At 35.6% G+C, this 18,837-nt stretch overlaps 1 protein-coding gene across 20 annotated transcripts in view; it reads right to left on the bottom strand.

The window, feature by feature from the left end:
* CDH18 (cadherin 18) overlaps nt 1-18,837 on the bottom strand; it is a 1,104,418-nt gene that overhangs the window by 69,406 nt on the left and 1,016,175 nt on the right. For all 20 annotated transcript variants that reach the window (XM_005248228.5, NM_001349562.2, NM_001349556.2 and 17 more), the window contains one exon: nt 3,168-3,304. In XM_005248228.5, the coding sequence (XP_005248285.1) occupies nt 3,168-3,304 (137 nt within the window). The remainder of the gene's footprint in view (nt 1-3,167; nt 3,305-18,837) is intronic.

Here is an 18,837-nt window from a genome sequence, read left to right on the forward strand (position 1 = left end):
TACCTTGGCCCTTTTTTGCCACAGCTGGTGCGACTGGGATGCAGGGCACCAAGTACCTAGGCTGCACACAGCAGGGGGCCCTGGGCCCAGCCCACACAACAATTTTTCCCTCCTAGGTCTCTGGGTCTGTGATGGGAGGGTCAGCTGTGAAGGTCTCTGACATGCCCTGGAGACATTTTCCCCATTGTCTTGGTGTTTAACATTTGGCTCCTTGTTACTTATCCAAATTTCTGCAGCAGGCTCGAATTTCTTCCCAGTTAATGGGTTTTTCTTTTTCTATCTCATCAACAAGCTGTAAATTTTCCAAACTTTTATGCTCTGCTTCCTCTTGAACTCTTTGTCGCTTAGAGATTTCTTCCACCAGATACCCCAAATCATCTCTCTCCAGTTCAAAGTTCCACAGATCTCTAGGGCAGGGGCAAAAAGCTGCTAGTCTCTGCTAAGGTACAATAAGAGTCACCTTTGCTCCAGTTCCCAAAAAGTTCCTGATCTCCATCTGAGATCACATCAGCCTGGACTTTATTGTTTATATCACTATAAGCATTTTGGTCAAAGCCATTCAACAAGTTTCTAGGAGGTTCCAAACTTTCCCACATCTTCCTGTCTTCCGAGCACTCCAAGTCTCCAGGATGTTCCAAACTTTCCCACATTTTTTTTATCTTCTTCTGAGCCCTCCAAACTGTTTCAACTTCTGACTGTTACCCGATTCCAAAGTCACTTCCACATTTTTAAGTATCTTTACAGCACTACCCCGCTCTACTGGTATCAATTTACTGTGTTAGTCTGTTCTCACACTGCTGATAAAGACATACCCGAGACTGGGTAATTTATAAAGGAAAAAGGTTTAATGGACTTAGTTTCACATGGCTGGGAAGGCCTCACAATCATGAAAGAAGGCAAAGGAAAAGCAAAGTCACATATTACATGGCGGCAGGCAAGAGAGAGCGTGTGCAGGGGAACTCCCCTTTATAAAACCATCAGATCTCCTGAGACTTATTCACTATCATGAGAACAGCATGGGAAAGACCCGGCCTCATGATTCAATTACCTCCCATTGGGTCCCTCCGATGACAGGTGGGAATTATGCGAGCTACAATTCAAGATGAGATATGGGTGAGGACAACCAAACCATATTAACCCTCATAATTTTTTTCTTGGATATATTTTTCCATTCATCCCTTTATTTCTTAACTAAGTTTTAATGAGTCCTTATTATTTAACCGCCATTTAATTTGTTCTTACATTACTAAGGATTCACAATTGCTAACGTCTGGTTATTTTGAAGATGAAAATAACCAGAAATGATTACAATTGAACTCACTCATGGATTCTTTAGAGAACCCCTTTAAAAGTAATTAGTGAAAGGTTACTTTTACAGAGATATTATGGTGAAAAACTAATTCAAATGGAAGCCACTTGAGCTAATTTTGCAGACACCAAAATCCAAGTAGAATCAAAAACACTGAAGTAGCCTCATGACTGCTACATAACTAAGGGCAATAGAAGCATGCATAAACTACAGTGCAATACCACCTCACACCCACTAGAATGGCTATAATAAAAAGACATATAGTAACAAATGTTGGTGGAAATATGAAGAAATAGGAAACCCTATTGCTGTCAGAAATGTAAAACAGTGCATCCACATTGGAAAACAATCTGCTAGTTCATCAAGTGGCTACACATAAGAGTTACCAGCAATTTCACTCCTAGGCATATACTCAAGAGAAATGGAAACATTTCCACAACTACTTTTACACCAATGCCTACAGCAATATTATTCCTATTAGGAAAAAAATGGAAACCAGATTAATGTTTGTCAAGTAAAGAATGGATAAATATGTGGTATATCAATACAATAGAATAATTTTGGCAATAAAAAAATGAAGTACCAATGACACATACTATAATATGCATACACATTGAACACATCATGCTCAATGATACAAACCTGTCACAAAAGACTACCTATTATATGATTATTTTATATAGCAAAGCAATAGCAGGCAAATTTATAGAGACAGAAAGTCAATTAATGGCTTCCTGAATTAAGGTGAAAGAGTGTGGGGGATTATGACTAAGTAATGCAGAATTTTTTTTTTTGTAGTAATAAAAATGTTTTGAAATTGGTTATGGTAATGGATGTGTAACTCTGTGAATATTCTAGAAACCATTGAGTTATACACGTTAAAAGGGTTCATTTTATGCTGTGTGAATTGTATATCAATGAAGCTGTTAAAATTTTTAATGTTTTAGACCCTCTGAAAGAAAAACAGAACGTGATTTTACTTTACATGGCACTATTTTCAAATGTGAAGTATTCTTAATCTCTAATATATTCATGGTTTTTTTCATGAATACATCAAAACATTTCCTAAATGTATGTATAACCTCTTCGTACACTTTTAAAGTGAGGATAATTGGTACTTTTGGTCTACTTACGAATATGTTAAAAAAACTTTATTGTTATGAAGATGGATTCATTTTCTTAGAGTTATATTCTAATTTCATTTAACACAGTCATATCTACCTTTATGATTCCAGAAGTATTACGGATATATATTTTTTTATGTTGTTTCCTGAGCTTAGGTGTTTATCACAATGGAATATTCTGGGTGGAGGTAGAACAAGAGTCATCCTCAACTGTAGATCACGTATGTTACTTGAAGAGAGCCTAAACCTGGCTGTTGAAATTCCAAGAATTATTCTTTTACTGTAAGTTCTATAAGTGTTTTTGAAACTTGAGCAGAGGTATTATATTGACAAAATAATCAATGTGCAATTATACATTTTTCTTTCTTTCTTTTTTCCTAAACTATCACACATATCAAGTCATTCCAATGACTTGATAGTGTAAGTAAGGCAAAAGCAAATGAAAAAGCAAGTCTCCCAATTAGAAGGAGAACCAAATGCCCTTGACTCAAGGATGAGGCATAAGTGTTCTGTGATGCCACTTTTCCATCACCATGCCAGAATTACAGTAAGGAGGAAGGCATAAGACTTATTCATGCTATCTGATAATGAGAAATTATATCTAATACACTCCGCTTACTCTCCTAGATCCTGATATCAAAAATAAAGATTATGAGAGCCCTGCTCTTAAGGAAATTTCAGTATGTCTTCTTGTACAAGTGACATCTTTTACTGTGATACATAAAGTAGTTTACCAATTTCTGAAGCAGTGACTGTGATGTTGTACCATGGAGTTTCTTCTCTGTCGAGAACCTTTGTAGTCCTAATGGTCCCAGTATTGGCATCAATGTTGAAAAATCTGTCGTCTTCAACATTGTAGTTGATGAAGTATCTAGAGAAAAAAAGAGAAGTTTTTACTTGATGTTATAATGAAGAAAATACAACTGAACCAAGGAAAGTATTATATCTAAATACATTAAAATATTCAAATATACTTTTAAATTCTATATTTGATTACATGGCAACTTTATATTTTTATAGAACTTATATCAATTATTCTTATCCATCAGTCTTTAATTCTAAGTTCAATTACTAATTCAAAGAATAATTTTATAAGGTCTTACCAAATTCCATGAATAAAAGTAGATAGCAGAAACAGCGATTAATAGTGGAGAGACCAAAAGAACTCACCTCTTGGAAGCCTATAATATGTTTAATGAAAAAAAATATTAAACCTATAATAAGACTTCTTGTTGTTATTATTCAAAAAAAATTAGAATCCTTGAAGTCAGAGATGAATTTATCTTGAAATTTCATTGTAGCTAAGGTTTAAAAATAATATAAAATGAAAAACAAAACATTTATATTTATTAACATTGTACCTCCATCACAGTTCAACTAAACCCTTGTTTAGTCAAAGAATGAGATAAAAAAATAAATAAAGATAGGTTGAATTATAGGCCACAAATTATTTTTCCCTCTTCAATTCATGTAATTTTGTAGAGTTCTCTTATATTGCGTTAGATTTCAGCTTACTTTTGTAATCAAATGAGCTGAAAGTGATGGTGTCTGTCTTCTTTCTGGGCCTAGGTTTCATGAGACTTTGTATGTTTCCTTGTGTCCTATGCCACTGCCACAGGAAAAGCATGATTGGGCTAATTAACTTGTCCTAGCAGGAGGAAGGGAAACACACGGGGCAAAGTTGTCCCAATTAAGGTTCCCAACCTAGCGTAGATCAATCTAGTAAATGTGCAGATGCACGATGGAGTGCCCCAGAGATAAACAGAGCTGGCATCAAAAGCTAGCCTAATTCAGCTAGCCCTCAGCTAACCCACCGACACATGCAGTGTAGTTAGACACAGCTTTTTTTTAAGACCCCTGAGTTTTGGAGTTATGTGTTATTTAGCAACAGCTGATTAACATGTCTCTGAATATATACTATTAAACAATTATCATATGTTCTAGAAAAGCTTCAGACTATTTCTTCAACTATTTAAGGAGATAAATATTCTCTCCTAAAGCCTCTAATGCTTTTTTCTCTTTTTAAATCTCAGCTTAAGTAATATTTTATCTAGACCTGAAAGATGAAATGGACTGATTAATTATGTGAAAAGTGCTAGGGAAGAATATATGAAACAGAGAAAACCAAGATGCAAAGATCGAAATTAAAGAAACAGTTTCAATTGGTTAGAAAACAAATCTATGTCAATGTGGCTATGGAGACTGAATGACATGAATCTCCAAGAGTTAGGACAAGGTAGGACAAGGTATCTTTTGTGAAAGCAATGGCAAGAATTTCAAATTCAAGAAAATAAAAACAGATTTATTAATGCTCTGAAAAATAACAGTGGCTACTTTTTATCATATACTGTAGAAAGTTGAAAACAATTTATAAAAAAAATTATTTGTCAACTTGGACAAAGATGGAAAGATAGAAGATGATGGAAAAAAGTGTACAACATACTGTTATATATGAAATGAAATTCATAGACTTCTTGTTGCAGTGGCATTAGTAAAGCAATTAAATCACAGGTGACTCCATTTCCACACGTGTTTGACCTACTATTTAATTGATAGGCCCCTTTACTGAGGTGGATAAAAAGAGCTGGGGAAAGGTAGTTTGGGAAAAATTAATGATTATGCCTTAAATGCCCATTAGATACCCATGTGGAATAAAAAGCAAAAGTCAAATATGGGTATGGAATTCAATTGTCCTTTCTAAATAGGAAATATAACTTTGAGATGATATATCAGCATAAAGCTAAGGTAATGGGAATGGTATAATCTCATCTGGAACAGAATTATAAGAGAAAAGAAATAAAAGATTGAGCACTGAAGTACACAACCTATTGAGTATAGAGCAGGTCAGTATCTGTTCGGAGATGGTGACAGCCAAAGGAGAGAGGGAAAACTGGGAAGGGGAGTGGCATGCAGCCAAGAAATGGCTTACCAGGAAGGAAGGAGCTAACAACTGGGGTGAATTCTGTTAGGAGGTTGATTGAGGTTAGTGAGGGTTAATTGGATTTGGCAAGATGGACAGTATTATTAATAGTTAACTTGTCAAGAATAACATCAGAAAATATATCAAAGGACTGGAGATTTATTACAGTGGCTTCAACAGTATATTGAATGTGAAGATACAAAGACCATGAGTTAAGACAATTGATTGATATCTTTTAATGAATGAACAGCAGAAACAAAAGCATTTTGTGTCATCAGAAAAGTGGGTTCAACAAATTATTTTCTTTTATATGGGAAATAAGAAGCATTGTCTTTGCTGAAAGAAATGATGCTTTTGAAAAAGGGGACTATCAAAAATTGTAAAACTCATGAGAAGGTGAAAATAATTGGATTCCGGGGAACAGATATAGAAATTTCCCATTGAAAGTAACAGGGATGCTTCTTCCATTTTAGTATGAGGAAAAGATGAAAAGCTGGGTAGAAATATAGGGTAGGTGTGGTGATGTAAATATTACAAAATTCATCATACTTTCTAGAACAGAGTGTAAGTGGAATTGCAATACAACCAACCCCATGCCTCTCATAGGCATAAGGTGTTAGAAGGGTATGCAGAGCATATTGCTAAGGTGTGAAATCTTCTAACCTCCTGTGGAGAGGCATGAACACACATGGCAGAAGATATTAATAGCAGCATGGAGAATGAAACTACAGAGCAAGGAGCATGCCAAGAAATCTAACTTATCAGTAAAAAACACATAAAAAGAGACAGATTGTATCACTTGGAACGGTGTGATCAAAACAAGGAACTGACCATTGTACATTAAATTTTCTAATAATAAGTATATGTTAATTGAAAAAAGTTTAACATAAAAAAGAAATTTAAACAAGAAAAGGTACAACTCTAAAGTAAATCTTATTCTGAGACACAAAAACCAGATGCTACAGAATAGTGGGAAATCTGTATGTCACTGGGGTTCCCAAAGCATAAAGCCATGCTACAGTAAAACCATTGTACTTAATTCAGATTGAGTCTATACTAGAAAAAAAACAAAACCCTTCTTATAACATCCCTTTCCCAGAGGAAAAATGCTGAGGATGAGGGTTGAACTGGTTAGGAAATGACAGATGTCTTATCATGTGGAAAGGACAGCATCCTTTAACATGTAGTCAGTAGGCTTTCTGGCTATTTTATTATCTAATGTTAACCTGTCTTTAAGAAATTGTCCATTTTTGGTTACTGTAAGAAAATCAGCTTCTGTATCTGAAATTTGGAGGATTCAAATTTGGAACTTATTATTCAGCTTCAAAGTTGCCTGCAGCAACTATCAGAAAAGCTCAGATTGTAGTGCTATAGATCCCTATGAAATATGGCAGAGCATGTCTCATTTTAGAAGTTAGATCACCTTACAACTGTCAGTCTGGAAGAAAATAGGTTTTGTTTTGTTTTGTTTTCTGAAAATATGTAGTCTTTTTGCCAGAGCAATCTCCTCTTTTTTAGCCACTTCACACTGGGCTTTCTAACATAAGTGCTAATATCAGTGGCTTAATATTTTTAGAGTTAAACATTTTAATTTATATAGTTTTAAATTATGTTTATATATTAGAAAAATGGTAAGCATACTGCTAGGCATGCATCTTTAGACTCATGTTATTTGCTTCCGAGTTTCCTAAGCTATCTAGCTCTCTAGGGAAATCAACATCCTAAGGGTTAGATTGTGGGCGATGCTTGGATCCAAAGAGTCTTATTCACGAAGTTGCAATTGAATTTTGACTCAAGTAGAACTAAATAGTTCTGCCTAACCACTTTTGGCTTTCTGCCCAGACATGGAAATAAAAACTCAGAAGTAAGTAAAGTGGAAATGTGAGAAAAGAGAAACTATTCAAGACTATTTTGAAGATTAAATGTAGAATCATTCAATGCTAATTATTTAGAATTAAGAAGTGACATGGGACCATAAAACTATTAATCAAACCATTAAAAAGAGATGAGGCTATTCTCAGTAAATTACTTTTCAAATAATTTTTATAATAAAATCTGTTTCATAAGCCCTAAGTAAAAAAATCAATACTTTATGAATGTATATATCAATATTTAGATTTTTTTACAAATAATTAATTTGACATTATCAGAAATATTTAGAAAATACAAAATCAAGTAACGATTTGCCTAGGTGACATAGGTCCTAAAAGAGGACTAATCATAAAACCCGTGGAATTGGGATTTTAAATTAAAAAAAAAAAAATTCTAGGTTACAGCTACCAAAAATGAACCAGAATAAATTGAGGCTAGAAGATTTATAGCCAGATAAGACATTTTAAACAATTTCTTCAAATTCTAAGTTGGCCATTAATATAAACCTTTGAGTATTGCCATATGTGTGAGGCAGAGAGGAAATACTTAAATGCGTATATGAGTTATTTAACAAAGCTATCTAGTAAGAGGTAAGAAAATCTAACATTTATGGAGCACTTGCAGTATACTAGATGGGGTTCTAAGTGCTTTATAAATATTAGTTCATTAAACACTCATAACAGCTGCATGAGGTAAGTACTATTACTAGCTCCCTTTTGCAAATGAAGAAACGAAGGGACAGAGTAATAGAGAATTTGTCCAACATTAAGGAGACAGTGCAACAGATTAAAATACAATCTAGGTCTACTGAGTAATATTTATCAGCTTTTTTTTTTTTTTTTTTATGAAGTGTCGCTCTTGTTGCCCAGGCTGGAGTGCAATGGCACAATCTCAGCTGACTGCAACCTCTGCCTCCCGGGTTCAAACAATTCTCTTGCCTCAGCCTCCCGAGTAGCTGGATTACAGGCGTTTGCCATCATGCCTGGCTAATTTTTGTAGTTTTGGTAGAGACGGGGTTTCACCATGTTGGCCAGGCTGGTCTCTAACTCCTGCCCTCAGGTGATCCGCCTGCCTCGGCCTCCCAAAGTGCTGGGATAGGCCTGAACTACTGTGCCTGGCCAGCTTCTTTGTTTTTAAAAGGAGAAAATTTTAAAGGGGGGATAATACTGTTTGAATGTTTTTCCTTTCTGAATCTCATATTAAAAGCTAATTCCCAATATTGGAGGTGAGGCCAGGTGGGAGGTGACTGGATTATGGGGGTGGATCCCTCATGAATGGTTTGGCCCCATCCACTTGGTGTTAAGTGAATTCTCACTCTCAGTAGTTCATGCAAAATCTAATTGCTTAAAAGCCTGGGACTTCTTCTCACTCCTGTTCCCACTCTCACCATGTGACATGCTGGCTCCCCTTCACCTTCTGCCATGACTGTAAGTTCTCTGAGGCCAGAAGCAGATGCTGGCACCATGCTTCCTGCACACTCTGCAGAATCATGAGCCAATTAACCTCTTTTCTTTATAAATGACCCAGCTTCAGGTATTTTTATAGCAACACAAGCACAAACTAATACAATCTTTATCCATTCATTCAAAAATACTCTCATTTGAAAGAATACAGAAAAAGAATGAAAGATATATATTAAAAAAGAGAGAATATGTCAAATAGTTTACTTCGGGAAAAGAAGAAAATAAAGAAAGAAGGAAGGAAGAAAAATGGAGGGAGGGAGAGAGGGAAGGAAGGGAGGGAGGGAGGGAAAGAAGAAAAGCGAAAGAAAGAAGAAAGAAAGAAAGGAAGAAAGGAAGGAAGAAAGAGAAAGAGAGAAAAGAAAAAGAAAGAAAGAAAAAGAAAGAAAGAAAGGAAGAAAGAAAGGAAGAAAGAAAAAGAAAGAAAAAGAAAGGGAGGGAGGGAGGGACAGGTAACTGATTATAATGATGGATGCCAGAGAGTTTAATGAAGAGATCAGAGTATAAAATTCCAAGGCATAAAAGCTTCATGAAGGACATGGTATTTGATCAGTCCTGAAAGAGGAAAAACAGTTAAATAGAGATATGTGCACCAGAGATCATCCAGAGAGTATGGAATTTGATGATTTCATATGACATATTAGAGAAAAACAGAGAGAAAGAAAGATCTTAAATCTGGTTTGGAATTCCTTCAGAGGTGACATAGCATTTTGGAGACTAGTGCTTTCTGGTATTGGCTGCTAGACTAGAAAAAGAGAGAAAAAAAAAGAAAGAAAAAAGCTTCATGTAGTAGGTAGGAAAGAAACCACACATCAGCATTCCAGTAAACATGGCTGCCCTTATTCACCATGTTAGACTTTAGTAGTAAACTCTTTTTATTATTATTATTATTATACTTTAAGTTTTAGTGTACATGTGCACAATGTGCAGGTTTGTTACATACGTATACATGTGCCATGTCGGTGTGCTGCACCCATTAACTCGTCATTTAGCATTAGGTATATCTCCCAATGCTATCCCTCCCCACTCCCCCCACCCCACAACAGTCCCCGGTATGTGATGTTCCCCTTCCTGTGTCCATGTGTTCTCATTGTTCAATTCCAACCTATGAGTAAGAACATGCGGTGTTTGGTTTTTTGTCCTTGCGATAGTTTGCTGAGAATGATGGTTTCCAGCTTCATCCATGTCCCTACAAAGGACATGAATTCATCATTTTTTATGGCTGCATAGTATTCCATGGAGTATATGTGCCACATTTTCTTAATCCAGTCTATCATTCTTGGACATTTGGGTTGGTTCCAAGTCTTTGCTGTTGTGAATAGTGCCACAATAAACATATGTGTGCATGTGTCTTTATAGCAGCATGATTTATAATCCTTTGGGTATATACCCAGTAATGGGATGGCTGGGTCAAATGGTATTTCTAGTTCTAGATCCCTGAGGAATCGCCACACTGACTTCCACAATGGTTGAACTAGTTTACATTCCCACCAACAGTGTAAAAGTGTTCCTGTTTCTCCACATGCTCTCCAGCACCTGTTGTTTCCTGACTTTTTAATGATTGCCATTCTAACTGGTGTGAGATGAGGATTGACTAAACTGTAAGACCTAGTATAGCAAATGAAAGAATATAATTATTACCTTTCTAGATGAAAGGAGTACAGATACTTTGTAGAGAAAGATAATCTCTGTAAAATTTTGAAGATGAGAATGCATAGATTGGGAAAAATGTCAAGGATGTTTGGATTGTAAGAGCACAGACTTTTAAAGATAAATGAAGAAGCAAGAAGAATTAGGGTGAGGGATGGGCCACTTACCAAGGACAAATTTCCCAGTTTTCAGATATCAGAGGTAGTAACCTCTTTGAAGACACTGAAAAACACCTACATTCTTTCTCTCTGTGTACAATAAGTCACAGATTCTTAGCCTTGTTTATTTAGAATGTAAAGATCAATTCCAGGAAAATTATTTCTAAAATAGACACAGCATATATGTGAATATTATATCAAGCCATAGTAAGATAATCACTCCAGGTTTGAAACCAAGCAAACCTGTTAATCACAGCTGTATCACTTAGCATTGTGACCTTAAGAGATTTAGTCTCTCTGAGCTGTCTCCATGAGTGAAATGGAGAACCATTTACATAATAATTTTCTTGTGATGATTAAGTGAAGTGATATGTGAAAATCACTTATGCTTGAGGGTTAAATGATAGGCCTTCATAGAAAACAGCTATCACTTGTTTTAAGGCTTCTCAGGAAGACGTTTTTCTCCCTTTCTTTCTTGGGAAGCTTCAGTCTATTTTGATAAGACAGTTCATAGATTGTAAGTACTGGTTGTTTCTTTCTCCTACGACTGCACTATAAACAGAGTGGGTTATGAATAGGGTTACTACTGAATAAACAAGAGTCTCTATATAAATAGCCAGAACTTCAGCCTGTTTCTGAAAATTTTGTCAGAAAATTAATTTTTAATTTACTGCTTAATTCACATAGAGCAATTTTTATTTGGAAGGTGTATGAGACTAAAGCTCTTTAACTTCTACCAATAATAACACAGATGTATTGCTTGGCCTCACAAGTGAATGAATAAGCCAACCAATCAATCAACAGTTATAATGGAGACTGATAATATTTCATGCAACTGATAGTAGTCTTTCACTTCTTTTGTAAATATGTTGGTAGCACTAATCATGCCAAGAAATCGTGTCTTACCTATCCAGGCCAGTATGTTTTCATATCTAGATAAGATATTTATAGATTCTTAATGTCATCCTTCATATGGATTTCTAATACTATGCTTAAAATTGGTTAGATTTATTCGGGAAATAATTGTTTTCTCTTTATGGTGTGTAGTTGGCTTATTCCCTCTTTCATTGAGTAATATTTAAACATTGCACAAAGAACAAATAAATTTGCGCCTCACCCAAAATTCATAGAATCATAGTTCTGGAAATAATTTTAAGATGTAATACAATTATTGACTGTGAAAGCTCATCTTTTAGACTTCAGTTTAAATCTAAGAAAAAAAGCAAAGCAACTACTTTGTGGTGTATCTTGTTAATATCCTGTACTAATCTACAAGCATATGTGGTCAAAAGTGTTAATATGAGGGAGAAAACGTTGAAATAGACTCAACGGCTACTCTTATAATTGTGACATATAATTCAAACCCTATCACCACTACATGTTCACTATATTATGTGTGAAATAAGCATCAAAATGGTATCTTCACTAAACACTACTGTGAAAGTTGTATGATCAATGATCAATAAGATGTCTCCTAGTTATAGATTAGAGAAAGTACAATTAAGTTACTGACAGCTCAAATTTGCTCAGTGGTCTTTATTAGCCCTCTAACTGGACAAGTCCCATAGGCAAACCTTAACTAATTTCACACTGACAGATAAATGGATCCATTCATGCCTCACCCAGTACAGGAGATCTTGCCAAGTTCCCAATATAACTTATAAATACTGGCTATAATTTTTTATTTCTACACCACTCTTTGTTCTATCATTCAACTTCTGTACCATTTCATATCTCTAGTAAATGTTTTAAAGCAATGATGAAAGTAAAAAGAAAATGCATTATATTGAAGTGAGATGAAAATTTATTATTGAAATTAGTACTTCAGGGACCAAAAAACAGACAGAAAATTTATGACCATAGTAAAAATTCAATCTCAATAATGATTACCTTTACTCAAATATTTTCTTCCACAGAAACTACTTTAAACAAACCATGCAGGTCATCATTTGGAACTCAGCTTCCCTTTGATTAGGTATACATTCGTGATAATCAATACTCATATTAAAGTGTATTAGAAATGTTATTTTTCATTTCAATAACAGCTCTTCAGTCCTCAGTGGCACTTATTTTCATTATATTCTGTCCATTTCACCACAAGAAATTAATTTAAAACTTATGTAACAGAAATCCATTTTTACAGTGACCTACTTAGAGAAATATCATCTGACCTGCACGTTGTGAACATGTACCCTAAAACTTAAAGTATAATAATAATAAAATTAAAAAAATAAATAAATAAATAAAGTATAGAAGACCTCTTTCAGTTGTCACTTTGTAAATATTTGCAGGTACAAGACATGAATGGTAAAGCAAATGTATTTAAGATTTTGTCACCCAAGCAGTTGTTTTGTAAGTTTTGTTGAGAATAATCAATAGTTGGGATAAAGTTTAATCAATACATACCCTGTGAGATATTACCACAACTTGGTCTCATACTTTTTTTTTTTTTTTTTTTTTTTGAGACACAGGGTATTGCTCTGTCACCCAGTCTGGACTGCAGCAGCAGGAACACGACTCATTGCAGCCTTTGCCTCCTGGGCTCAAGTGATCCTCCCAACTCAGCCTCTGAAGAAGCTGGGACCATAGGTGTATGCCACCCTAATTTTTGTATTTGCTTGTAGAGACAGTGTTTTGTCATGTTGCCCAGGCTGGTATTGAACTCCTGAGCTCAAATGATCCTCTCGCCTCGACCTTCCAAAGTGCTAAAATTACAGGTGTGAGCCAAAACGCCTGACCCTGGACTCACCTTTAGCTTAACAAAAAGTCACGCACCTGAAGTATAGCTTAGATTCACTTTACGAATTATGATTCCCTTTGTTAACATTGGGAATGCAATTTAATACACAAGCCATGCATTGAGAAAATAATCTTTCTAAAAAAAAGAAGGTATAATTTCTCACATAAAGTGAGTATTGTGCTTATGTGCTTAATAGGATGGACAGCACACATGGCACATAGATATTTGCGGATACTTTTTAACCTCCTGAATCAAAACTTCCATCCAATGAAGCAAAATTAAGCTAAACCTCTGCACATGCAATTATAATGTTTCTTCCTGGTATTTATGACTCTAAGTAAGTGAGATATCAGAAATTGCATTAATCTTGAGTTCTAGAAATGCTACAAAACCTTATTAGAATTTTTTTATTCAGAACCAGCCTGACCAACATGGCCAAACTCTGTCTCTACTAAAAATCCAAAAATTAGCCAAGCATGGTGGCACATGCCTGTAGTCCCAGATACTTGGAAGACTGAGGCAGGAGAATCCCTTGAACTCTGGAGGAGGTGGTTGCAGTGAGCCAAGATCACACCACTGCAGTCCAGGCTGGGCAAGAAGAGCATAACTTCATCTCAAAAAAAAAAACAATTTTTTTTTTTGTAAAATTCGCATGAAATACATAAGCTATTTGGATGTTATTCCCCTGTTAGTAGATCTATAGAGTATCACTAAGCTAGGGCTAAGGTACTTATTCTAATTATGCACACCTTCCCAGAACACAGGTTCCCTTCCTGGGGCTAAGCCTGGTTTGGTCACAAGATGGTGACATTAGGCTGTTAGATAAACTTTAACCAGAAATGGAAGATTTTTAGAGGTCTTCTATATCTTTAATGAAACATGAAAAAGTGACCACATTCTTGTCCAGTGTCAATTATTAATTAATAATTTAATTATTTTAGACTTCAGGTTGAATCTAAGGGGGAAAAAAAGCAACTTTGTGGTATGTCAAGTTAACACTTTGGAACAATCAACAAGCACATGTGTCCAAAGAGTTACTATAATGGAGGAAATGTTCAAATAGATCCAAAATCTACTCTAATATAACTGTGACACAACATTATAACACCCTTATTGTATATTCACTTTATCCTGTGTGAAATAAGCATCAAAATTGTACTTATACCAAATGGTACTTCAGACGTTGTATGACTAGAGCCAGGGAAAATGGCGGAGAGGAGGCAGGACTAACTTGCAGCTCCCACATGGACCAACAGAGCAGCATGTGGAGACCCACACTGTGAACTTTTGCTCCAAGAACTACCACAGGAACATACCAGGAAAGCCAAGAGAATCCACAGACCCTTTGAAAGAGGTGGACTGCAGCTGCAGGCTCCATGGGATAGCTGAGGAATTGTGAGTTGGCTTGCTTTCTCAGCTGGGAGGCTTGTAGTCTGGGGCAAGTTCTTAGCTGTTACCAGCTTCCTGGAAATAAACTTGGTGATGTTGGGTGGGACATGAGGGGAGTGAGACCAGCTGTTTGGGCTGTGGGCTGCATGGGAACAAGGTAAGGCCTGGGGCTGCCGGCTCTTCCCCCACTTCCCTGGTGAGCTATGTGATGCAGCAGAGAAAGCCATAATCCCCCTGGGAATATAACTCCATTGGCCTGGGAACCACATCCCCATCCTCCACAGCAGCCACAGCAAGACCTGCCAAAGTCTGAGCTCAGAAAAGCCTAACAGTGCCCCCATCTGATGGTCTTTCTGTACCTACCCTGGTAGCCCAGGACAAAGTACATAATCTCTTGGGAGCCGTATGGCTCTGTTGACTGCCTGATCCTCCCTATACAATCGCAACTGATGTGCTCTTGAAAGCACCACCTCCTGGCTGGAGGCCAACCAACACAAAACCAGCACACTTAACAAAAATGCAACCAAGGACCCTCACAGAGTCTACTTCACTCCCCTGCTACCTATAATGGAGTAGGTGCTGGTATCCACAGCTGAGAGACCTGAAGATGGGTTACATGACAGGACTTTTTGAAGACACTCCCCAGTATCAGCCCAGAGCCTGGTAGCTCCACTGGGTGGCTAGAGCTAGAGGAGAAATAACAATAATTGAAGTTTGACTCTCAGGCAGCCCCATCCCTAGAGGAAAGGGAAGAACACCACATCAAGGAAACATCCTGTGGGAGAAAAGAATCTGAACAACAGCCTGAGTCACACATCTTCCCTCTGACATAGTCTACCCAAATGAGAAGAGACCAGAAAAATAATTCTGATAACATGGCAAAATAAGGTTCTTTAACATCCCAAAAAGATCACACTAGATTATCAGCAATGGATCCAAACCAAGACTAAATCTCTGAATTGCCAGAAAAAGATTTCAGAAGATTGATTATTAAGGCAATCAAGGAAGCACTAGAGAAAGGTGAAGTTCAACTTAAAGAAATCCAAAATAATGATACAGGATATGAATGGAAAAATCTCCAGTGAATAGACGGCATAAATAAAAAACAATCACAACTTCTGGAAATCAATGACATACTTAGGGAAATGCAAAATGCACTGGAAAGTCTCAGCAATGGAATTGAACAAATAGAAGAAAAAACTTTAGAACTTGAAGACAAGGCTTTCAAATTAATCCAATCCAACTAAGAAAAAGAAAAAAAAAATTTAAAAAACGAGCAAAGCCTCCAAGAAGTTTGGAATTATATTAAATGAACAAACATAAAAACAATTGGTGCTCCCAAGGAAGAAGAGAAATATAGGAGTTTGGAAAACACATTTGAGGGAATAATTGCAGAAAACTTCCCCAGCTTTCTTAGAGATCTAGACATTCAAATACAAGAAGCTCAAAGAACACCTGGGAAATTAATCACAAAAAGATAATCTCCTAGGCACATAGTCATCAGGTTATCTAATGTCAAGATGAAGGAAAGGATCTTAAGAAATGTGTGGAAAAACAAACAAACAAAAACACCAGGTAATCTATAAAGGAAAACGTATCAGATTAACAGATTTCTCAGGAGAAATCCTACAAGCTAGAAGAAATTGAGGTCCTATCATTAACCTGCTTGAACAAAACACTTCTCAGTCAAGAATTTTTTATCCAGCAAAACTAAGTTTCATAAATGAAGGGAAAATACAGTCTTTTTCAGACAAACAAATGCTGAGAGAATTTACCACTACCAAGCCAGCACTACAAGAACTGCTAAAAGGAGATCTAAATATTGAAACAAATTCTCAAAATACAACAAAATAGAATCTCCTTAAAGCATAAATTTCAAATGACCTATAAAACAACAACACAATGAAATAAACCAAGGTATTCAGGCAAAAGATAGTATAATGAATATAATAGTACCTTACATCTCAATACTAACATTGAATGTAAATGGCCGAAATGCTGCACTTAAAAGATACAGAATGGCAGAGTGCATAAAAACTCACCAACCAAGTATCTGCTGTCTTCAAGAGACTCACCTGACACAGGACTAATATACTTAAAATAAAGGGGTGGAAACAGATATTTCATGAAAATGGACACCAAAGGCAAGCAGGAGTAGCTATTCTTATATCAGAGAAGATGAACTTTAAAGCAACAGCAGTTAAAAAAGACAGAGGGACTTTATGTAATGATAAAAGAACTAGTCCAACAGAAAAAAAAATTCACAATTCTACATATACATGCACCTAACACTGCAGATCCCAAATTTGTTAAATATAAAACAGTTACTACTAAACCAAAGAAATGAGATAGACAGCAACACAGCAATAGTGGAGGACTTCAATATTCCACTGACAGCACTAGACAGGTCATGAAGACAGAAAGTCAACAAAGAAACAATAGACTTAAATTATATCCTAGAACAAATGGACTTAACAGATCTTTAAAGAACATTCTACCCATCAACTGCAGAATATTCATTCTATTCATCAGCACATGGAACATTCTCCAAGAGAGACAATATGATAGGCCACAGTACAATTCTCAACAAATTTAAGAAAATCAAAATTATATCAAGTACTCTCTCAAACCATATTGGAATAAAATTGAAAATCAACTCTAAAATGAACCCTCAAAACCATGCAAATACATGGAAATTAAACAACCTGCTTCTGAATGATCATTGAGACAACAATGAAATGAAAATGGAAATTAAAAAATTTTTTGAACTGAATGACAATAGTGACATGACCTATCAAAACCTCTGGGATACAGCAAAAGTGGTGCCAAGTGGAAAGTTCACAGCATTAAATGCCTACATCAAAAAGTCTGAAAGGGTACAAATAGACAATCTAAGGTAACATGTCAAGGAAGTAGAGAAACAAGAACAAACCACACCCAAACACAGGAGAAGAAAATAAATAACGAAATCAGAGCAGAACTAAGTGAAATTGAAACAAAAAACATACAATACAATAGATAAATGAAACAAAAAGTTAATTCTTTAAAAAGATAAATAAAAATGATAGATCATTAGTGAGATTAACTAAAAAGAGAAGCAAGATCCAAAAAAGCTCAATTAGAAATAAAACAGGAGATAGTAGAACTGATACCACAGACATACAAAAGAGCATTCTAGGCTATTATGAACAACTTTATGCACATAAAATAGAAAACCAAGAGTAGATGGATAAATTCCTGGAAATATACAACCCTCCTAGATTAAACAAGGAAAAAAATATAAACTCTGAACAGACAAATAACAAGCAGTGAGATTGACAGGGTAATTAAAAAGTTACCAACAACAAAAAAAAGTCCAGGACCAGACAGATTCATGGCTGAATTATATTAGACATTCAAGCAAAAATTGGTACCAATCCTATTGACACTATTCCACAAGACAGAGAAGGAGAAAATCTTCCCTAAGTGATTCCATGAAGCCAGTATCATTCTAATACTAAAACCAAAAGGGGACATAACAAAAAAAGAATACTACAGACCAATACACAGACCCGGATGAACATATATGCATCAGACCCTTATGAACACGATCTAGGACAGTTGTATATTTCCAGGAATGTATCCATCTCCTCTTGGTTTTCTAGTTTACTATGAACAAAGTTGTTCACAGTAGCCTAGAGTTCTCTTTTGTATGTCTGTGGTATCAGTTGTAATATCTCCTGTTGCATTTCTAATTGAGCTTGTTTGGATCTTCTTGCTTCTCTTCTTGGTTAATCTCACTAATGTTCTATCATTTTTATTTATCTTTTTAAAGAACTAGCTTTTTGTTTCATTTATCTATTGTACTGTGTGTTTTTTGTTTCAATTTAATTTAGTTCTGCTCAGATCTTTGTTATTTCTTTTCTTCAGCTGTGTTACAGACCCTGATGAACATATATGAAAAAATCTTCAACAAAATACTGTCTAACAGAATTTGACAGCATATCAAAAAGATAATCCACCATGATCGAGTAGGTTTCATAGCAGGGATGCAGGTATGGTTTAATATCCACGAGTCAATAAATGTGGTACACCACATAAACAGAATTAAAAATAAAAATCACATGATTATCTCAATAGATGCAGTAAAAGCTTTTGAACAAAATCCAGCATCCTTTTATGGTTAAAACACTCATCAAAAACACCAAAGAAGGGGCATACCTTAAGGTAATAAAA

Source organism: Homo sapiens, chromosome 5 (assembly GCF_000001405.40).
Source record: "Homo sapiens chromosome 5, GRCh38.p14 Primary Assembly".
Classification (NCBI taxonomy): Eukaryota; Metazoa; Chordata; class Mammalia; order Primates; family Hominidae; genus Homo; species Homo sapiens.